This window comes from Homo sapiens, chromosome 13 (assembly GCF_000001405.40).
Source record: "Homo sapiens chromosome 13, GRCh38.p14 Primary Assembly".
NCBI lineage: Eukaryota > Metazoa > Chordata > Mammalia > Primates > Hominidae > Homo > Homo sapiens.
Genome location: NC_000013.11, coordinates 105,699,595 through 105,716,417, shown reverse-complemented (window position 1 = coordinate 105,716,417; position 16,823 = coordinate 105,699,595). Strand labels below are relative to the sequence as shown.

The 16,823-nt window shown below is 34.9% G+C and overlaps 2 long non-coding RNA genes across 7 annotated transcripts in view; one reads left to right on the top strand and one right to left on the bottom strand.

Annotated features, from left to right (window-relative positions):
• The window catches only part of LINC00343 (long intergenic non-protein coding RNA 343), a 54,967-nt gene extending 45,379 nt beyond the window's left edge, over positions 1-9,588 (bottom strand). The window contains exons 1-3 of one of the 2 annotated variants that reach the window (NR_046391.2): positions 9,501-9,588; positions 8,789-9,318; positions 8,581-8,704 (exon numbers count right to left, since the gene is read on the bottom strand). This is a non-coding gene — a long non-coding RNA (long intergenic non-protein coding RNA 343). The remainder of the gene's footprint in view (positions 1-8,580; positions 8,705-8,788; positions 9,319-9,500) is intronic. The other variant, NR_120418.1, reaches the window with a different exon arrangement.
• The window catches only part of LOC105370345 (uncharacterized), a 134,781-nt gene continuing 127,519 nt past the window's right edge, over positions 9,562-16,823 (top strand). For all 5 annotated transcript variants that reach the window (XR_931698.2, XR_007063935.1, XR_931702.2 and 2 more), the window contains exons 1-2: positions 9,562-9,748; positions 11,046-11,227. This is a non-coding gene — a long non-coding RNA (uncharacterized LOC105370345). The remainder of the gene's footprint in view (positions 9,749-11,045; positions 11,228-16,823) is intronic.

The following is a 16,823-nucleotide window of genomic DNA, read 5'->3' as shown; positions in this document are numbered from 1 at the left end:
CCAGAGAAGAGAGACATATTACATAAAAAAGGAGTGAAAAATAAGAATGATAGACAGTAGATTTATCATTAGAATCAATGCAAGTGAAAAGAGACCTCTTTAGTGTACTGAAAGAAAAACACCTGTCAGATGAGAATTCCATATCCTGCAATATGTGTCTTTCAAAAATGGAAGTGAAATAAAGACTTCTTCAGAGATACAAAACCCCTAACCTGATAGAATTTATCACCAGAGACCCACACTGACAGAAGTATTAGAAGAATTCTTTCAGGTAGAAGAAAAATGAAATCACTGGAAACCTGGATCTACACAAACATATTGAGAACACCAGAAATGATAAATACAATGAGATCAGCGCAAAGTTTTGGAGGAGAGGAAAGGAATTCCACTATTATAAGTTTTAATATTATAGTTAACATAATATTACTTGAAATTAGGCTGTTATAAGTTAAAGATGTGTATTATAAACTCTAAAGCAACCAATTGAAATCATATAACAAAGTGTTATATTTATTAAACCAAAAAATGCAAAAAAATTATAAAAATGTCTTTTTTCACCTTTTCCTCTTTTTTTGCTTTTTTGAAGATTAGTTTTACAACTAATATTGCTAGTGTTTTACAACTAATCGACAAGAAAGCAAAAAAGGAGGCAAAGCTGAAAAAAGGAACACACATGAGACAAAGAAACCAGAGTCAGGTAACAGAGCTAAACAGAAGCACGTGAATAGTGCCACCACATGCAACTAGTCTAAAGAAAAGTCTCCAATCAAAAGGAAAAGATTATAGTACTGAATTTTAAAAAAGCAAATCCAAATACACCTGTTTACAAGATATGCCCTTTTACATTTTTAATCAATATATCGTAGTTGTACATATTTGGGGGTACCTGGTATATTCTGATATATGTATACAATGTGTAATGATCAAATCAGGATAATCAGTATCTATCACTTCACATATTTATATTCTGTGTTGAGAGCATTACAATTTTTCTCTTCTAGCTATTTTGAAATATACAATAAATTATTTTTAACTATAATTTTTCTACTGTACTATCAAATACTAACATTTATTTTTATCTAACTGTAATTTTGTACAAAGCAACTTCTTTTTATTCCTTTTCCTCACTTCCCTTTCTATTAATAGCTTCTGATAACTACCATTCTAGTCTCTACCTCCGTCAGATCCGCGTTTTTTAGCTCCCACATATGAGTGAGAGCATGTAATATTTGTCTATCTGTGCCTGGTTTATTTGACTCAACATAATAACCTCTAGATATAAAAAAAGAATAAAATTCCATCACTCGCAGCAACATGGAAGGAGCTGGATTTATATTTGTATGTGTGTATATATATGAGTAATAAAAATAAAGATGTGGAAAATATACCAAATTTACGTTAACATTAATCAAAATAAATCTGGATTGGCTTATTAATTAAAAAACAGCAGATTTCAGAGGAAAGAATATGATCACCTATTAAAAGTTGGTTTCATAATGATAAAAAGACTGAATTCATCAAAAGGACATAAGATTTAAAATTCTTACGCACCTAACAGAGCTTCAGAATACTTTAAGTAGTGAATGACATCAGCATGATGACAGACTAAGAAGCTACAGGTCCTTTTCCCCCCAAAATGACACTGAGTTAGCAGCAATATGTGGACTAGAATACCTCTGTGAGAACTCTAGAGAGCAATTGACAAGCTACAAAATCCAGGCCATTGTAAAATCCAGAGAAGATTCCAGTAAAAAAAGTAGAAAATAATGTGATGTTTGACACACCTGTTTATGTCCCTTCCCTCCCACAGCATAGCATGTTACAACTAGGATACATCCTCTCACACTGGCATTTCTCTGTCAGGGACTAAACAAATGAATGTTTCATATATCCAACATTCTGGCTTGTCTAGAACGGCTTGAGGACTTCATTTCTATCTAGCTTGAATTGGAGCATTGATGGGATGGGTGACAGAATTTAGAAATTCTTGAAAATAGGCAAGCAGTAGGTTGGAGCTTCCGTTTTGCTGCCAGACATTGGGGAATGGGGGTGCAAAAGATCAGAAAAGATTTGAGAAGTCCTAGACCTCCATCCAGGCTTAGGGAGCAGGTCTTTCCTTGAATGAAATCAGTGTGCAAAGACTAAAGAGCAGTTTTTTTGTTTGTTTGTTTGTTTTTTTCAAATGTCCAAATCCCAGCAAATAATTACACAGCATACGTAAAAACAGGAAACATATCCCATAAATATATACACCTACTTGGAACCTACAAATTTAAATTTTAAAAAAATTAACAAAAAAAACACAGGAAAACGCGGTTCGAGGAAAGAAATTAATAATATTCCAGAAACCGTTTAGGAAAAGCCCACAGTTAAAAATCATTCTCAGTGGTAAAATTCTAAAATATTTTTCTTTGCGACCAGAAATAAGATAAGGATACTGCTCTTGCCACTTCCATTCAACATAATATTAGAAGTCCTAGCCAGAGCAATTAAGCAAGATAAAGAAATAAAGGGAACATAAATTAGAAAGGAATAAAGAACAGTATCTTAGTTCACAGATATCATGATCTTAAACATAGAAACTCATAAAAGTTTTACACACACATACAAACCTGTTAGAACTAATAAGTGAATTAAACATAGCTGCAGGATACAAAAATTAACAAACAAAAATTAGTTGTGTTTCTTTACAATCACAATGAACATTCTACAAGAGAAATTAAGAGAAGAGTTACATTTATGATAGCATCAAAAAGAATAAAAACCATAGAAATAAATCTACCCATGGAGGTGAAAGACTATACAGTGAAAACTACAAAGCAGTTCTGAAATATAATGACAAAGGTACAAATAAATGGAAAGACATTCTATGTTCATGAATTCGAAGACTTAATAATATTGGTAAGATGTCCACATCACCCAAAGAAATTTATGAGCTCAATGCAATCCCTATAGAAATAGAAATCTCAGTGACTTTTTTTTCCTTGCAGAAATAGAAAAACGCATCCAGAAATTCATATGGAATGTCAGGGACCCTGAATAGCCAAACAATTTTGAAAATGAAGGAATTCAAAAGAATCACACCTCCTAATTTCAATGCCTGTTACGAGCGTGGGAATATACCTTCACTTATATGATTAAATTATATTTGATAAGATTGTCAAGACTACTGAGTGTGGAAAGGGTAGTCTCTTCAACAAGTGATGTTGGAAAACTAGATAATCGCATGCAAAAGAGTGAAGTTGGACCTTTATCTTTCACCATATACTGAAATAAGCTCAAAGTGGATTAAATGCCTAAGTATAAGACCTAAAACTATAAAATTTCTCAATGAAAATATAAGGGAAAAGCTTCATGACATTGGACTTGGCAACAATTTCTTGGTTATGACACTAAAGTACATAAGACAAAAATTAAAAATAAACAAATGGGATGACATCAAACTGAAAGCTTTTGTAATTAAAGGACCCAATAAAAAGAGAGAAAAGACAATCTATGGAATGGGGGAAAATATTTGAAAGTCATATATTTAATGAAAAGTTAATGTCCAGAATATATAAAGAAATGCAATGCAGCAACAGAAAATAATAAAAAAATTACAAATTGCCAAAGAACTTGAATAGACATTTCTACAAAGATGATATATTAATAGCTAGCAAACATATAAAAACTATTCAATATCACTAATCACTGAGAAAGGTAAATCAACAAGATATCAACAAGATGTAACCACATGCCCATTACGATGGCTAACATGTAAAACAAAATCAACAACTAAACAAACAACCAACCACAACAAAAATCACGGAAAATGAATCTTGGTAAGGATGAGGAGAAATTGGAATTCTCTTGCACTCCTGGTGGAATTTTGCAATGATGCAATCATTATGAAAATCAGCATGGAGTTTCCTTAAATAATTAAAAAGAGAACTAGCATAGGATCCAGAAATCCTATCTTTGGGTACTTATCCAAAATAACTGAGAACAGGGACCTGAAGAGATATTTTTACATCCATGTTCTTAGCAGCACTACTTGAAATAGCCAAGAGGTGTAATAACCACAATGTCTGTGATGGATACGTACAGCAGAACATCATTCAGCCTTTAAAAGGACAAAAATCCTTTGCTACGACATTGAGAAAGCAGGGGGACATTAGGTAAAGTGAAATATGCTAGTCACAAGATGACAAATACTGTATGATCCAATGTAGATAATATTAAAAAAGTCCAAGTCATAGAAACAGAACGTGGAATGGTGGTTACCAGAGGCTGCAGGGAGAGTAGAAAGAGGAGCTGCCTAATAGGTATAAACTGAAATTTGCAAGATGAAAATGTATGGAGAAGTGTCTCACTACAATGAGAATATACTTACCACTTAACTGTACACTTGGAAAATGGTTAAGATGGTAAATTTCGTGTGTTTTCTACCACAATAAAGAAATAGAAATACATTAAGTAAAAGCTGATAGAACTGAGAAAAAGAACCAGACAATTCTTCAAGTATGTGCTGATATTTAAACATTCAGCCTTATTAACTGATAAAAGAAATAGAAAGTAAAAATATAGAAGACTTAATCTACTTGACACCTAGAATCAAATTAATCTACTTGACACCTAGAATACTCTTTGTAACAATATAAGAATTGACATTATTCTCAAGTTCACATGTAACATTTACCAAAATAGACCATATTATGGATAATAAAACAAGTCTTAATTTATTTAACACGATTCGTATCATATAAGGTATGTTCTCTGGTGAAAGTAAAATATAATAAGAAATAAATAACAGAAAGATATATGGACATTCCAGAATTATTTGGGTATTAAATAACATACTTAAAAATAATCCATGTGTCAAATAACAAACCAAAATGGAAATATTAAAATATTTGAAAGGAATGAAAATAAAAATTCATCATGTCAGAATAGGTAAGATACTACTGAAGCAGTGCTTAGCTGAATGTATAGTACTAAACATCTGTATTAGAAAAAGAAAGGGCTCCAAATTATTGACTTCACCTTCCAACTTAAGAAACTAGAAAAAAATCACCATATTAATCACAAAATATATAGAATAAATAAAATAGTAAAAATCAGATAGTAATCAATAAAATAAAATACAAACCAGAGAAATTCAAAAAAGTAAAGACGGATCTTTGAGTCAATCAAGAAAATGTATAAATCTCTAGCCAGAATGATCTGAAAAAAAAAAATAGCACCAAATTTCCAAAGAATGGGAGTGGCATTACTAAAGATCCATAGATATTAGGCAATAAAAAAGAATGCTGTAAACAACTGTATGCCAGGAAATATGACAGCTTCGAAAAATGAACACACTTATTGAGAAAATACAACAATAGTCACTCAAGAAGAGTTAGATTACTTGAAGTACTCTACAATGTAGTTAAAAACCTGCCTCCACCAAAATTCCAGACCCAGATAGTTTCGCTGATGATTTATATCAAATATTTACAGAAAAATAGCAACTCTATCCAAGTTCTCCCAGAAAATTTAAAAGGGGGAACCACTTCCCAACACATTTTGTGGCCTGGATTTACTCTGATATCATAACCAGACAATTATATTCGTAGAAAAGAAATCATAGACTAATATTCATCATGAGCAAAAATGAAAAAGTTCTAACAAAATTATAACAAATCAAATCCAACAATATACAAAAATAATAACATATAAAAAATAAGAGATGTTTATTCTAAGAATTAAGGTTTGGTTTTATGTATGAAAAGTAACCTGAAATTACACACATTTGTAAACTGAATTTCCTGATAAGTATTCTTATAAGAGTTAAGACAGAAACATCTCAATCTGAAAAATGGCATCAGAAATGCTTACAGCTAACATCAAACTTAATAGCGAAAGACTGAAACTTTTTTCACTAACGTGAGGAACAAAACAGATTCAATTCTCACCACTTTTATTTAACATTTTACTGGAATTTTTAGTCAATGAAATCAGGAAAGAAAAAGAAAAAAATTCACCAAGATTGGAAGGGAAGAAATACTACTATATGTATTCATTAAAACTCTAGGCTGTCTTTTTTAGAAATTAGCTAGCTGTTTCTAAAATAAATACAGAAATGCAAGGTTTCTAAAATAGTCAGAATATGTTGAATAAAAAAGACAAAGTTGTAGATCTAACATTATTAGATTTCAAGACTTATTATATGATGACAAATATGAGACCAAGAGAATGAATAGATATTCCAGAAGTAGATCTATACACATATGGACAACTAATTTTTGACAAAGTTTTACAGAAGATTAAATGGAAAAAGGATAGCCTTTAAATAAATGGTGCTAGACTAATTGGATATCCACATGTAAATAATGTATCTCTAATTCATATCATGCCTTATATAAAATATTAACTCAAGATTTTAGAGTTAAGTCTAAAATTACAAAAATTCTAGAAAAAGGAAACAAATTCTTTGTGACATAGATTAGGCTCAGATCAATAATAGAATAAATTGATATGTTGTAATTCATCTAATTCATCAAAATTAAACTGCCCTTCCAAAGGTACCATGAATGAAAAGACAAGCCACAGATTGGGAAAAACTGATTATCAAGTTATGTGTGTAATGTCTAATAAAGAACTTGCATTCAAAATATTTTTAAAAATATTCTCAAAACGTAAAAATAACAAACCACCCTATTAAAAGATGGGTAACTGATTTGAATAGACACTTCATCAAAGAAGACATGTAGATAGCAATAAGCACATTAAAAGATGTTCAATGTACTTAGAAAAAGTCCAAATGAAGTGCACAATCTCATAGCACTATACACCTATTTGAATAGCTCAATTTCAAGACACTGTCCACACTAAATTTAGTCAAGAATCCTGAGAGAACTGGAATTTTCACACTACTGGTGAGAAGATAAAGCCATGGAGTTATTTTAGAAAATAGTTTGACGGTTGATTAACATTTTAAATACATACCTACAGTAGGATTTACTGATTCCCATTCTAGGTGTTTCCCCACAGGAAATGAAAACATATGTCCATGCAAATATTTATACATACAAGTTCATACCCGTTTTATTTGTAACAGCGCAAATTTGGAAACAACTCAAATGTTCATTAACAGATGATTGAATATAAAAACTGTAGCACACCCAAGCAATGAAAAACTACCAAGCAGGAAAAAATAAATGAAGTATTGATACACTCAACTATGTGAATGAATCTCAAAAAAAATACATCATTCTGAATGAAATAAGTCGAACAACAACAACAAAAGGTACACTGTATAATTACATTTACACAAACTTCTAGGAAATGTAAGCTAATAGATAAGGCCAGGAAGTAGATCAGTGGCTGCTTTGGGATGGGGCAGTCAGTATCAGCTTTAAGGGGTAAACATATGCCAAAACCTGTTAAGTGGTACATTTTAAACATGTAAAATTTATTTTGTATCAACTTTTTCCTAATATAGCAGTTAACAAAAAGATAATTTTAACTACATTTATCACAATATTTTGGTCTGGGCTTCATGAACAATTACCTAAATGATGGCTCAAAAATCTCCTTTTGACATCTGATCAGATGAAAGAAGATAGTAAATGCTGCAACATGTGTGCCAGTGGAGAATCTGTAATTCTGTCCGCATAAATGTAACTTAAAGTTTACCAAGAGACTATCTGGTTTAATGTAATAACCAAATAATCTTTTACAGACATTCATACTCTCACTCATTCTTCTGCACTCATCAAATATTTAATTAGATACATGCTCTCTGAAACATGTATGTATATCATGTTTTAAAAATCAGATGCAAATTTTGTCTTTTTGCTCTCATAGGAAAGGATGTTACACAAATTGTGTACAAACAACTAAATCATTTTAAATCCTTAAAATAGGTAACACAGAGCTTGATACATAGGATATACTCAATTACAGTAGCACATCGTAAACAAGAGTGATAAAAGGATAAATCCAGTATCATGGGGCATTTAGAGAAGGAAGATGTGTGTGTGTGTGTGTGTGTGTGTGCGCGCAGAAGGGGTATGTTTGAGGGCAAGTGTGAGTATCTAGAAAGCTTCCTGAACTGGATGACTTTGAGAACTGATTCAGCGCTGTCCTGCATCACAGGGCTACAGGTAATATGAAGATGAAGCTGGGTAAATAGATCGGAAGAAGAAAAATAGGTTTAGGTCTGAATTTTATATTTTTCCTTTTTTTAAAAAAATTGATTTCCCCCTCCTCTTCATTGTAATCTTCATTAACAGAACAGAAAATACATTGAAAATAAATAATTAAAATGCCAGTTTTATGACATACATCAAAAATGGAGGTTTGGAAATTAATTATATATGAGAAGACAGCTACCTGCTGTTAAAAAATAAGAAAAAAATATACAGACATCACACAAAAAGTTTCCCACACCAGGTTTTTTCATAGCTTGCACAGCTTCTTCCTTTCATCACTGGACTCATTTTCCCACCTTCCCGACCCCAGTTTAGGATGCAGTTCATTCCGTGCAATTTCTAGCCATAAACTCTAGAGTATAGAAAAACATTCACATTACTCTGGGTGTTTGGTTCAGGAGTTTACCTTGAGTATCAGGTTGGATGTTTTACTCGCAAATGTTTATAAACCTGCTACTGCATGCAACGCACTGCTCTAGGTACTAGAGAAGACATGCCAAATAGTGAAAATACTTCACCATCAATGGAGACTGCAATAGACAAATACGGATGATGGAGATAACATACCTACAATGTCGAAGAGGAAAAATGTACTGAGTAAAGAACAGGCTTACCTCAAGGTTTTGCTTGCACCTTGTGGCAGTTCTAATTCCTTTTGCATCTCCTGGAGGTGTTTACTAGCTTCTATATGCATATATTACCACACCATGAAGTAGTGTCTATATACTTGAGAGATGATACTTCAAGCTTCTATTTCTTTAGAACTCTTTTTTAAAGGTTTAATGTTTGAAAATGTTAGTAGGTGTTATACGACTGCATATGTTAAGTGTATCTCCCTTGCGTAGTTGAATGGTGTGGGAGTGCACTGTTAAACCATCTGGTTGGTCCAGTTGAAAAATCCCTTTTACTTGATGAGATGGGGATGTAGGCTGAAGAGCCGGCCTGGTTGAAGAGCCGTGGGAACACCCTCCTCCTTCCTTCCTTATTTCTTCTGAGGTGGAAGTGTGATGCTCCAAAACAGTTCCTCTCTCTTCAGTTCCTTCTGTCCTTTTCTTAAGCTTAATAGTTCTGTGTTCTGGAAACCATTTCATTGGTTTTTGATTTTATAGTGCTCTCTTTACTCAAATGTACACAGCCAAGGGTACTGAGGAGTAAACAAAGTAGAACAGTGTTACACCCCTTTCAAATTCATTCACACTTCCACCAGAGTGATATTTCACAGGTTTTAATATTATCAGGTGACTTTCCTATGTAAAAGCACCTAGTCACTCTCCATGACAAAGCCCTGCTCCTTGGCATAGCTTGTCCATATCCATACCTCCCTACCTTTCCAGGTTTCTTTCCCATAGCCTCTTTGTAGAATTCACTGCAGCCTAACTGCCTTCCTAACAGCCTAACTGCCTTCCTTCTGCCTGCCCAGAAGTGTACCAGGCTCACTCGTGCCTTTGCTCACTCGGATGCCTCCCTAGATCACGTTTTCACCTCCCTTGTTCATCTGGCTCTCCCCACCCTCCTACTTTCAGACTTATCCTTCTAGGTCAGCAAATCTGGAGAGCCTCTCCTCTTGATCTAGGGTGAGCCAAGTGCCTCTTTGTTCCCTTTGCCCAGTGAACACACTCCTAAAGCAATGCATGATGTATGTTACCCCATTAAATCACAGGTTATATCTTGGCATCTGTGCCTGGCACATAACAGGCACTCAATAAGTATTTATTGGGCTGAAGTGAAATAAATAGTGTTTTAGATAATCAAGTACAAAGCAGAGTTTTAAGAGGCTAAATAGGTCAGTGTGATCATCTTTGTCATAGATTGTAGTAAAAATAATCTGTGAAAAGTGACTGATTATTGACAGGTAGCCTTGGGTATGCAGCTCAAGTAGGCATTATAAAATAAAAAACATCACATTCCATGTATTTTCAAAAAAAGCTTCTGGCTTACTCAAAAGGTAAGTGTTCTTTAAACAACTTCAATGGAAAAGGAGTTTCTTCCAAATGCTTGGAGAACTCCTTCTCAAGTCCGGAATAAAGCAAGGTCTACAGAGACAAAGTATAAATAAAACCATGGTGCTGAGCTGGTACCACTATTGGGCTGCTAAGCAGTGCTAAGCATTGCCTTCAGATGAGTTATCTAGCCTTTGTAAAGCTCAGATTCCACAGCTATAAACTGAGATGAATAATAATACACAAAACACTAAGCTGTTGAGTAGATTAAATGAAATTATTTATGTAGAGCAAATAGAACAGTACTGTACCTTATAAAATTTAAAACCAAAATGTAAATTCTGATTTTTACCCAAGGGTCAACTCCGCACAATTTTGCAATGGACCCTTCCCCGGCCCTCCAGAAGCTGAATATCGTTGTGTATCATATCCAAATTCAGTATCACCAGGGCATAGAGTAAGTGCCAACTGTGAGGCCATAGCTATGCGTCCACTCCCCTGAAACACATTGTGTACCTTCATTCTTGGAGTTGAGTCTTTGCATTTCATCCTCCAGAGTGAGAATAGACTGCGTGTTGGAGAGGTCAGGGAAATTATGTCTTTCTATGTCTAGCCCTTTATAGGTCGATTATTTGAATGCTTGACAGCATCTGTCCACTTATCTATCCCTGCAATAATAAAATACGGGACTAAAGTAGCTCGTATCTCTAGTGGGAGAGTGCATATATTTTATACGTCAATTCTTTAAAAGGGGAAATTCTTTCAGAGCTTCAGAAAATATCACGGAAGAGTTAAAAGAATGTTTGAGAAGAACATGTCTGAGTATTACCTACTAGCATTACAATTTTACTGCTTTAAAGTAATTATAATTTTCATTGCAGGATCTATGAAAAAGGCTTTTACCTGACGGTAATTCTTCTTGTACTTACAGGTCATTATTACAATGAAGGGAAGAAAGGAAGACATGAAGGGGAAATGGGACTATTTACCAAGTGTATCTGCATAGACTAAAGGAGACAAGAGGAAGTACTGAGCACCTTGATTCCTGCAGATAATTATTTAAGAACCATAAGAATTCTTTCCTAGCTTCTCATAAGCCTGCTCCTTCAAAGGGTGAGTAGTTGACATGATTTTACATCCCATTTATATTTCTTTATTAGATAATTTTATTTCAAATCTAGTCTTATTTTTTCTGAACCTTCTGGGATATATAACATTTTATATTATCATTTATGTCATCAAGAATGTAGATTTATATTCTTTTCTATTCACATGTTTATGTAAATAATTGAACACCTCTAAATGACAGATACTATCATTTTATATATTGTTAATAAGTATCTTCATGGCTGGGCGTGGTGGCTCACGCCCGTAATCCCAGCACTTTGGGAGGCCGAGGCGGGAGGATCACCTGAGGTCAGGAGTTTGAGATCAGCCTGGCGAACGTGGTGAAATCCCATCTCTACTAAAAACAACAAAAATTAGCTGGGCATGGTAGCATGCGCCTATAGTCCCAGCTACTAGGGAGGCCAAGGCAGGAGAATCGATCGCTCAAACCTGGGAGGCAGAGGTTTCAGTGAGCTGATATCGTGCCACTGCACTCTGGCCTGGGCAACAGAATGAGACCCTGCTTCAATAAATAAATAAATTAATTAATTAATTAATAAAGTATCTTAATGACAAATATTTAAATATATATAAATATTTACATTTACATATGGGAAGAGAGATCTGAAATTTTAAGCAACTTTTATCCAAAAACCTATTTTTTTCAAAGTTCCTCCAACATCTATAAAAGAAGTAAAGTCACTTATAGATCTATCTTACTTCAGGGCCTATGTTTTCCTCTACCATACAACACTGCACATTCACAGACACAGAAATCTTTTACATTTCTAAAATAAATAAAACATCCAAACTTCAGTTTAAAAAAAATGGATCTACAGATCCACCATAGACTAAACGACCAAACATAGTCAGAGGTGTTTACTTGTTTGTTTCGGTCTTAAGGGAATCTTCAAACTACCCTAGAGCCTCGTGTATCCAATGAGAGCAGTTTGGACATTGAATGAATGGTGATGTCATTAAATGAGCTATGGAGCAAGATGTAAGAACACGCTTTAGAGTAAATAACATATTTGGCTTCTGAGGTATAAAAAGGGAAGGAGGCTTTCTCAGGACATTTGGGTACCTGGTCCTTCATACTCAGGAGGTTTTTCCATCTTCATGTCATGGAATAAACTATGCTTTAAAGAAATGCTGCGTCAGCAGAAAGTGTTTCAAATATAAGGAAATTGTCATAGCTTTGAAATTATGTCAAATATCATTTTAACTAAGAGAGCCATTGTCTTTCCATATATTTATCTAGAAGAAAATTTACTGGACAAAATAAATATAGAACAACTTCATGTGTAGTCATTAATGGTCGGATAGGCAGTTACTATAAAATATGAATAATCTAAAAATCATTTTAGCCATTTGTTTTTAATAAATCTCACTTGTGATTGATTTATTAAAAACAGGGCCTCCAGAAGAAAGAAACTTAATACCTTTCCTCCATCATTATGAAGGCACTAGTACTGACGTAACTAAAATTAGATGGCAGCTTGAGGGAGGAAGAGATGATGTAGAGATGGTGTGTAATCTGTGTAAACAGTCTCTCAACTGTCTAGAGTTAGCTGTACGAATCTGTTGTTGGCTCCAGTTATAAGAACCAAGATATGTATGTAAGGACAAACATCCTTAATTTGCTTAGCAAGTCGTATGTATTTGATAGACCACCAATTTTATTTTATTTTATTTTATTTTTGAGATGGAGTCTTGCTCTGTCACCTGGGCTGGAGTGCAGTGGCGCGATCTCGGCTCACTGCAAACTCCATTTAGCAGGTTCAAGTGATTCTTCTGCCTCAGCCTCCCGAGTAGCTGGGATTACAAGTGCTCAAAACCACCCCCGGTTAATGTTTTTTTCTTTTCTTTTCTTTTCTTTTCTTTTCTTTTCTTTTCTTTTCTTTTCTTTTCTTTTCTTTTCTTTTCTTTTTTTAGTAGTAGACACAGGGTTTCACTATGTTGGCCAGGCTGGTCTCAAACTCCTGACCTCGTGATCTGCCCACCTCGGCCTCCCAAAGTGCTGGGATTACGGGATTACAAGCGTGAGCCACTGCACCAGCCCTGATTTTTAAAAGGGATTTTAGAATTTCAGTTGAACATGTGTTTTTGAAGTAACTCCATATTGAATAGGGGAATCAGAGTAAGTAAACCACTACAGGAAAATCAGGAAGGCAGACTCCAATTTATGTTTTCTGTGTATAACCTACTTTAATAAAGAATTAAAAATCATAAGAGTAGTTTTATCTAGTGGCCTAGAACTTGATTATGAAAAGTAAGACAAAGGAAATCTGACCTCATGCCAGTGTCTGGAAGCCTTACAGGAACTGAAAGGACCCACGTGGAACAGCTGGCAACTGAAACTCATCTTGTCAATTTCAAGTGTAGTCCCTCTTCCCAATTCACCGGAGAAAACACAGCCAGCTTTGCATACAGTGTCTGGTGTCACCAGAGAAAACACAGTCAGCTTTGCATACAATATCTGGTGTCAGAATGACCAAACGATTGGCTTCTATCCCTTCAGGATTGTGAACAGAGAGCCAAGGCATACAACCAGTATGCCCACTCCGTCAGCTGCGAGACAGAGGAGATAAAGAATGCTGAACATTATGGGTCACTGCTTTGAAGTATTCAGAGGCCAAAATAGTTCAAAATAATTGTGTTAATCATTAAAAGTAGAAGAAGTGGAAGCCAAAATTATGCCTGCCTATATTTCAGTTTTGAATGTGTGGAGATCAGAAATTTAAAAAAAAGTTTATGAGTTTCCCCTTTTAAACTTTGAGAAAAGACCATAAGAACCGGTGTTTTAGTAAATCATCTTCAAGAGTAATTTACTCATAAAAAGAAAAGAACTCATGATACCGTGTAAACAAAAGGCTAATAAATGCTGGTGTAAATAAGATTAAGGGAGGACAAAGATGAAGGAAAGCAGGACATATCAAAAAACAAATAAATAAGAAATTTTCAGAGCTTGAATATACAAACAGGCACATCAAAAGAGGTTCAATGGAAACCTAATGCAATGAATGGGACAATTAATGCTTTTAAACATCACTTGGAACCACAGAAAATACCAACAGAAAAATCTGGTCACGTACAAGAGATAAGAGTCAGGGTTCCATGGATGTTCTTCTTAGATGAGAAGGACACTTCACTTTTATGGCATTGTTCCCACAAATCCATAACCCAAGTTTCATCATGAGCAAGCCTCAGCCAAAGAAAAATTGAGATGTATTTTACAACATACCTGTTCAGGCCCTTTAAAAATGTCAAAGTTGGCCAGGCACCATGGCTTCCACCTGTAATCCCAGCACTTTGGGAGGCCGAGATGGGTGGATCATTTGAGGTCAGGAGTTCGAGACCAGCCTGGACAATATGGGGAAACCCCAACTGTACTAAGAAAAGATAACAAAATTAGCCAGGTGTGGTGGTGTGGGCCTGTAATCCCAGCTACTTGAGAGGCTGAGGCAGGAGAATCGCTTGAACCCAGGAGCCAGGAGGTGGAGGTTGCAGTGAGCCAAGATCATGCCACTGTATTCCAACCTGGGCGACAGAGCAAAACTCCATCTCCCCCCAAAAAAAGCAAAGTCGTGAAAAACAAAGTAAGACTAAGGAACTGTCAGATTAGAGGGGACTGAGGAAACATGAAAATTAGATGAAATAGGGTATACAGTTTAGAATTATAGAACAGAAAGCAGGACATCAGTTGAACAACTAAAGAAATACAAATAAAGTCTATTTTAGTTAATATTGTTGTACCAATACTAATTTCTTAGTTGTAACAAATAAAATATCATTATGTAAGATGGCAACTTCAGGAAAAGTTGGGGGAAAGATATACAGGAATACTTTGTATTATCTTAGAAACTATTATGTCAATATTTTAATATAAAATTATTAGAAATTGTGTCAGAAACACTGGATGTTAGAAGACAATGGAGGAATGCCTCAAAAAATCTACAGAGAACTTCTTTTCAATCTATCATCATAGCATCAATCAAGTATGAGCTTCAAATTATGATATTTTATAATATGAGAATAATTCTGAAAATTTACCTTATACCAATATTTTCTTAGAAGATTACTTTAGGATGTGCTATAGTCAAACAGAGGAATAAACTAAGAAAAAGTATGATGTGAGATACAGAAAAATATATAGAAACAATTTAGAAAAATAATAAAAAGTAGTCCTATGATAATAGCAATATAAGAATGTTTAGATTGGAATAGAAGATGAATGCCCTCAAGAGTATAACCTCTGAAAGAAAAATTAAATAAATAAAAAAATTCTGACAGGATACCTGATCAGATAGAGATGTGACAAACCAGTATGTTGAAAGGTGATGACAGAAAGAGAGAACGGAAAGAGAGAGGCAGGAAGGAAAGGGGAAAAAAAGAAAGAAATGAAAGGCAATTCTCACACCAGTTAGAATGGCAATTATTAAAAAGTCAGGAAACAACAGGTGCTAGACAGGATGTGGAGAAATAGGAACACTTTTACACTATTGGTGGGACTGTAAACTAGTTCAACCATTGTGGAAGTCAGTGTGGCGATTCCTCAGGGATCTAGAACTAGAAATACCATTTGACCCAGTCATCCCATTACTGGCTATATACCCAAAGGATTATAAATCATGCTTCTATAAAGACACATGCACACGTATGTTTATTGCGGCACTATTCACAATAGCAAAGACTTGGAACCAACCCAAATGTCCAACAATGATAGACTGGGTTAAGAAAATGTGGCACATATACACCATGGAATACTATGCAGCCATAAAAAATTATGAGTTCATGTCCTTTGTAGGGACATGGATGAAGCTGGAAACCATCATTCTCAGCAAACTATAGCAAGGACAGAAAACCAAACACCACATGTTCTCACTCATAGGTGGGAATTGAATAATGGGAACACCTGGACACAGGAAGGGGAACATCACACACCAGGGCCTGTTGTGGGGTGGGGGGAGGGGGGAGGGATAGCATTAGGAGATATACCTAATGCTAAATGACGAGTTAATGGGTGCAGCACACCAGCATGGCACATGTATACATATGTAACTAACCTGTACGTTGTGCCCATGTACCCTAGAACTTAAAGTATAATATATATATTATATATATATAAAGAAATTCCAAGAAAATCAAAAGGCTGCATACAAATGAAATACTATATGACCATTATTTCCTTCTTGGCTTTTTCAAGAACAACATTTACTTAGCTACCACACTGAAATTACTATTCATTAATTTTAAGTAAACTGGCATTGAAAATATGGTTAATCTGGTTTTTCTTTTTTTTTTTGAGACAGGGTCTCGCTCTGTTACCCAGGCTGGAGTGCAGTGCTGTGATCTTAGCTCACTGCAACCTCTGCCTCCCAGGTTCCAACAATCCTCCCACCTCAGCTTCCCCCAGTAGCTGGGATTACAGCTGTGTGCCACCATGAACAGCTAATTTTATATTTTTAGTAGAGATGGGGTTCGCCCTGTTGGCCAGGCTGGCCTCGAACTCCTGACTTCAAGTGATCTGCCTGCCTCAGCCTCCCCAAGTGTTGGGATTACAGGTGTGAGCCACCGTGCCCAGCCCAGAAATGTGTTTAGT